The sequence below is a fragment of the Homo sapiens genome, chromosome 6 (genome assembly GCF_000001405.40).
Source record: "Homo sapiens chromosome 6, GRCh38.p14 Primary Assembly".
Taxonomy (NCBI): domain Eukaryota; kingdom Metazoa; phylum Chordata; class Mammalia; order Primates; family Hominidae; genus Homo; species Homo sapiens.
The window spans coordinates 26,607,718-26,614,284 of NC_000006.12; positions in this window are offsets into that span (position 1 = coordinate 26,607,718).

Consider the following 6,567-nt stretch of genomic DNA (forward strand, 5'->3'; position numbering starts at 1 on the left):
AAGTGTCTCCTTTTCAGATACTGAGTCTCAGCTCCACAAGACCCCAATCCTAGGAGCTCCTGAGGTACTGACGGCAGCCAGGATGCACTTTCTCTTCAGAGGTCTAAGCCCACATGCCGGGATCTCTCTTCTCACTTTCTAGTTTCTGATACCAACTCCTTTCCTTTATTCCCCACCATAGTGAGTGGGAGCTGTTTGCTGCAGTTTTCAACTCTGTGTTACCTTTTTGTGTTTTAGATTTCTAAAACCTGAGCAAGCATTCCCTATATGAACTTCATGTTGAAATGCCTCACGTGGTTTTTGAGTTGCTGACTAATTTATTTCTCCTTGATGTCTATCCGAATCCTGCCCACCGTTTCAGGCCCAAGTCTTTCCCCACGGGTTTTTCTCTTTGCAGACTGGATGAATCTCCAGGTCCTCCAAATGACTACATTATATCATGTACACCTCAGTTATAGACCTCTGGGTAGTTATTTTAGTATTCATGCTTTATTACAAACTTCTAGGTTTTTACAGTCATATTGAAGACATGGTATTTTGTTACCAACTAGGATATATGCTCTTCAGGGACAGAGAACAAACCTCAATGTTCTTGGGATGTTTTTCTTGTTTTTTTTTTGAAAATCAAAATGGTAAAAGTGAAAATAAATATGCCCCATCCAAACTTAGAATTTTCATTGGTTACAGAGCTGAGATGATCCAGGAAGCTGCCACCTAGCTAACAAGCCTGTCCTATTTGGGAGAGTATGGGCATGGGGGATAATTCTAAGTTAGGAGAAAGGTCTTTAAGTGTTAAAAAGACAATTAGGCCAGTCATGGTGGTGAAGGCCTGTAATCCCCCCACTTTGGGAGGCCAAGGCGGGCAGATCACTTGATGTCAGGAGTTCAAGACCAGCCTGGCCAACATGGTGAAACCCCATCTCTACTAAAAATACAAAAAACAAAAAAAATAGCCAGGCGTGATGGCACATGCCTGTAATCCCAGCTACTCAGGAGACTGAGGCAGGAGAATCACTTGAACCTGGGAGGCAGAGTGAGCCGAGATTGCACCACTGCACTCCGGCCTGGGCAACAGATCAAGACCCTATCTCAAAACAAAAGAAAATTATTCCAAAGTATGTTCATTATTCAGAATTCTTAACATACACTAGGGGTGACATAGGCTGTACTGAGGTCAAAAAGATGGACAAGAACCAAAAGAAGAAAGAAGCAAGGGTCAGCCATGCCCTATTCCTTCCCTGTTTCCTCTGTTTCCTAAACCCTCACTGATGAAAATCAATGCATGGTTTGACAATTCAGAAATTCGTATTTGAAGACATAAAATGGTGCTGCTTTCTTTATCCTGAAAACTTGGCCCCAGAATATGTTAAGAAGTAAAGTTCAGTTCTTACCAACATACCATCTTTGGTAGACAGAATGACTCCCTCAAAGATATCTAAGTCTTAATCCCTGTAACTTGTGAATGTGCAGCATTTCATGGCAAAACAGACATTGCAAACGTAACTAACGTTGTGAATCTTATAATAGGAAGATCATATTGGATTTCTGGGTGGGTCTAATCTAATCACATGAACCCTTATAAGCAGAGAACTTTGAATTCAGAGAGATGCAGAAGGAAGAGAAACCAGATATTTGAAAAAAGAAAAAGACTTGACAAGCCATTGCTGGCCTTAAGATAAAGGAGTCCATGAGTCAAGGACCTTAGTTATAAGAATACTAGAACCTGAAAAATGCAAGCAATCTGAACGATCTTGGAAGGAGAATTTTTTTACAAGCCTCCAAATAAGAGTCCAGCCCAGCTAACACCTTGACTTTGGCCTCGTGAGGTCCTGAGCAGAGCACCCAGTTGGAATACTCTGTGCCCAGACTCCTAGCTCAAAGTGCTGTGAAATAATAAATGGGTGGTGTTTTAAGCTGCCAAGCTTGAGGTGATTTATTATGGAGGCAGTGTAAAACTAATTTATCATCTTTCATGCAAGTCAATTCCTCCTCCAACTCAAAGAGCAAATATACACAAATGTCAGACAAAGTCACAAGAGAAAGGCTTTTCATAAGCAAACCAGGGGAGACAGAGATGAGTCTAGTAAAACAAATGGGGAAGGAAGGGGAGGTGACAGCTGTAAGCAGCAATGGGCATTCGGCCCACTCCAAAATTGTAGGAAAACTGTCTAAGAGGTTCTTTCTCAAGGAGCAAGGAATCTGACTGATGTTTTCCAGGCTAACAGTCTTAAACCTCTAGGTGTTTAAGGCTAAATGGGCAGAGAGAGGATGGGGATGGAACATCATTTTTCTTTTCTTTTCTTGTTTTTTTTTTTGTTTTTTTTTTTCTTTTTTTTTTTTTCGACGGAGTTTCACTCTTGTTGCCCAGGCTGGAGTGCAATGGCATGATCTTGGCTCACCGCAACCTCTGCATCCCAGGTTCAAGTGATTTTCCTGCCTCAGTCTCCTGGGTGGCTGGGATTACAGGCATGTGCCACCACGCCCAGCTAGTTTTGCATTTTTAGTGGAGACAGGGTTTCTCCTTGTTGGTCAGGCTGGTCTCAAACTCCCGACCTCAGGTGATCCACCTGCCTCAGCCTCCCAAAGTGCTGGGATTACAGGCGTGAGCCACCGTGCCCAGTCTGAGTATTATCTTTCTAAGGGACAGTGCAGACTTGGTGGGAGGCAGTCATTCAGCAGGAGTAGCATCCACAGTGTCTCTCAGGGGATGATCAATGTTTCCCAAGGATAAGCTAGATTCAAGATTTTCTTAGAGCTCCTCCAAGGACTGTGTATGAACAACTAGTGAAATGTGGACAAACAGGCTCCCTACGAAGCCAGAGGGGGCCGGGCCTGGTGGCTCACACTTGTAATCCCTGCACTTTGGGAGGCCAAGGTGGGCGGATCACTTGAGACCAGGAGTTTGAGACCAGCCTGGCCAATCTGGCGAAACTCCATCAAAAAAAGCCAGAGGAAGAAAACCACACTTTAAAGCCAGACCAAGGAAGGGAAAGATTAAAGGCAAATGCAATTTCCCACCCCCAAGATGCAAGTGAGGAAAGACTATCTTCCCTTTTCTTCAGGCAAGCATATTCCCAGGGAAAAGCAGGAAGGTAAGACTCCTATCTGAGCTTACATATTGAAAAGAGAAATGCCGGCCGGGCGCGGTGGCTCAAGCCTGTAATCCCAGCACTTTGGGAAGCTGAGCTGGGTGGATCACTTGAGGTCAGGAGTTTGAGACCAGCCTGGCAAACATGGTGAAATTCCTTCTCTACTGAAAATACAAAAATTAGCTGGGTGTGGTGGAGGGCGCTTGTAATCCCAGCTACTTGGGAGGTTGGGGCAGGAGAATCACTTGAACCTGGGAGGCAGAGGCTGCAGTGAGCTGAGATCGCAGCACTGCACTCCAGCCTAGGTGGCAGAGGGATGCTGTCTCAAAAAACAAAAAGTAAATAAAAATAAAAAATAAATAAAATAAAAAGAGAAGTGTCAATAGCATGGGCAGAAAAGTTGTGGAAATTTCCCAAAGGTTGTTGCTTCTGGGCTTGCAGCTGTGGCTGAGCTCTTGTCTTATATCCCAAACTGATGGAAAATGAAGGTGCTGGTGCTCTGACAGGTCCTTCTCCCACTGAACCCTAGTCAGGGGGCATTGGTTCCCTAGGGGCACTTCTGCTGCTTAACAGGCCCACTCTAAGCAGGACACTCTGACTGAGGCAGCAGTGAAGAGGTTTCGAAACCCAGGCTTACTCTGTGGTGCTGTCTCCTTTGAAGGAAAATCATGTGCCCTGAATAAAGGATCCTGGGTGTTCAGGACCAAGTATACCCCAAAAGACTGATGGCACCAGTGGTCCTACTAGGGCCTGCTTCACTGATGAATGCTCCAGAAATGGAACTCCTGACTGAGCTAGACAGACCTATCCTAAAGCACCAGTGCCTTAGGATTGGCATTTCTCCAAAAGGAAGGCTCATGGGGCTGTGCTATCAAACGCTGAGCCAGTGGCCTCATTGTCAGGTGACTGTGTGGGACCCAAGTGGCCTTCTTTCTTTCTTTTAGATTGGGCTTCTATACTAGCCTAAATATAGATGGATCAGAAGATCCAGAAGGATCTGTATATGTAGGAGAATTAAGGGTTGGGATGCTTACAGGAATTGGTTTAGAGCAGGGATGGTTGGGGACTTGGCAGACCTGTCAGCCTGAGGGGTCAGAGGTGGCTTGGTGGGGTCAGTGATGAGTAATGTGGTAGAAGCAGGAGTCAACCAGGAGTAAGTGACTGTTGGCCTCAAGTCTGAAGAGGTGCCTGGAAGTGTCTCTGACTTCGAGGACACCAAAGGGGTCAGCAAGCTGGATGTCTCCTGAGGCAAAGCAGCCACACAGGTTATCCCTCCAGTGGACTATAGGAAGGCCAGTGGGCCTGGGGTATTCTGCATCACTTTCAAGCTCTCCAGCTTGGATTAGTGCTCCCAAATGGAGGGGTAGTTGGAAATGGTGCAGTCCCAGCAGCAGGTAGGGTGACAGAAAGGATGGGCTGAGTGGCAGGCACAATCTCAGGATAGTCATTGGTGGCCTCAGTCTGCTCCTTTATGACTTCGTTGACCTACCAGAGTGCAGCTTTCTTGTCCAAGTTTTCTGCAGTGACTGCATAACCAAGTTGGGGAGTTGAAGACAGGATACCCTCCCCCTATGGCTTAGAAGGCTGTAGCAAAGTTTTGCTTTCATGAGGCCCAGAACTAACAGATGTGGGCGATGTATTCCTTGAGTTTTGCTTTGTTTTCTTCTGTGAGGGAGTGTCTGCAGCCTGAACCTCATTGTTTAATCCCTATACAGCAAAGTGTGGACAGATGTTTTTCTGTGCCTTTTTGTTTGTTTTTGAGAGGGAGTCTTGCTCTGACGCCAGGCTGGAGTTCAGTGGCATGATCTAAGCTCACTGCAACCTTAGCCTCCTGGGTTCAAGCTCTTCTGTGCCTTTTTTAGGGGAAGAGGATAATGAGTACTTTAGACATCAGGAGGGATGTGAAATTGCAAACTGGGACCTCCTCTCTTCCCTGTCTTTGAAATGTTTCCAGGAGAGCTGTAGGAGCTGCCAATGTCATTTCTGTTGGAGCTGAGGGGACCACTTGGGAATATGCTGGTCAAGGGGCTCTTGGAGGGATGATGAGACTTATTCTAGTGGTCATCTGAGCTCTGGGAATGGAGGTTTGGCTTCAAGGGACTCGGGCACCAAATAAACAGGGATCCCATTGGCTATCACAGTTGAATGTGAATATCTGGTCTCCTGGAGACTTGTTTTCCTGTCCTGGCTCAGGGAATATTGGGTCTTCCACTTTCATTTTTTTGCATTCTCTGAGGGCCTCGGTTTGATTTTTTGTGCCATAAGGGTCTGGAAGCTTTAAGGGTGCTTAGCTCAAAGTCGGCTTTGGTACTGGAAACTGGCTCACTTGGATGAGGTCAGGGGAAGCAATCTTGATGGTCACCAGGCTCCTGCAGGGTGACCTCCTGGCTAATCTGTGGAAGGGAGTGGGGCGAAACACATCAATGTATTGAACACTGCAGGGTCGTAGAGAGCCAGCGGCTGGCGGGCTTCTCCGAAAGCTCCTGGTCCCCCTAGGAAGGCGGCGGTGAGGGATCAGGCTTCTCCATGTAGAACTACCTTTGGTGAGTGATGTGGCTGGACCTGGGTTTTCGAGCTGGATACTGCCTCCAGGGAGTTTTCATTGGCTGCCGATGAGACCCCGCGCGAAGTGCACAGTGTTCTGGTGACAGGTGACCGTCAGGGATGAATGATGTGCACGGGTCTTCCGCGGCCCTGGAGCCCTTCTAGACAGCCAGCGCCCAGCACATGGGCACTAGGGACCACTGAGGTATAGCGACAACCCCAAAGAGCGTCCCCAGCCCCAGCTCTGCCACCCCCGTCCCCACCAGTTTCTCGTCCAGCCATCTCATTTATCACTTGCCTTAGCGAGGGCTTGGGAGACACCAAAGGAAAACAAACCCTGCGAAAGAGGAGCCCGGGCATCAGGACTGATAGGCCTACCCGGCTGCCTCATCTCCCGCTCCTGCTTAACTGCTGGAAGTCTCAGATTTGGGTTCCCGGGCACACGGGAACTCTCCCTCCGCGCTGTCCGGACCCTAAAGGCAAGTTGCCGGGGAAGGTTCCTTAACAAACAGCGGGCTTCCCGGTAGCCGGGTTCCCAGCCCAAGAACCTTCTCATTCACCTGCGCAGCGCCGCGGGACCTCACCCTTCCGGTGTGGTGCCAAGATCCAGACTGCCTGACTTGTTTTCGTGCCGCCGGACGGTGTGTTTAATCGATGCTGATGTTTTACTCTCTAGTTTGAGGACCCAGCGACAGGGCTTTAGCCCCTCTTCCTGCAGCTGCGGATAACAGACATTGGCTCTTTGGGAATTGCAGCGCGCTAGCCCAGGAGCGCCGCGCTGTCTGGGGACTGTGGGGCAGTGGTCCCTCGGGGCGGACAGAGCTTGGGTACAGGGGGCTCGCGCTCCCTGATCCCGGCTTCAAGGTTCAGCTTGAAGAGAGTCGGTTTACCTTTCCACCCACACCGGGCCCTGGTGCGGGTCGAAGGCCACAGG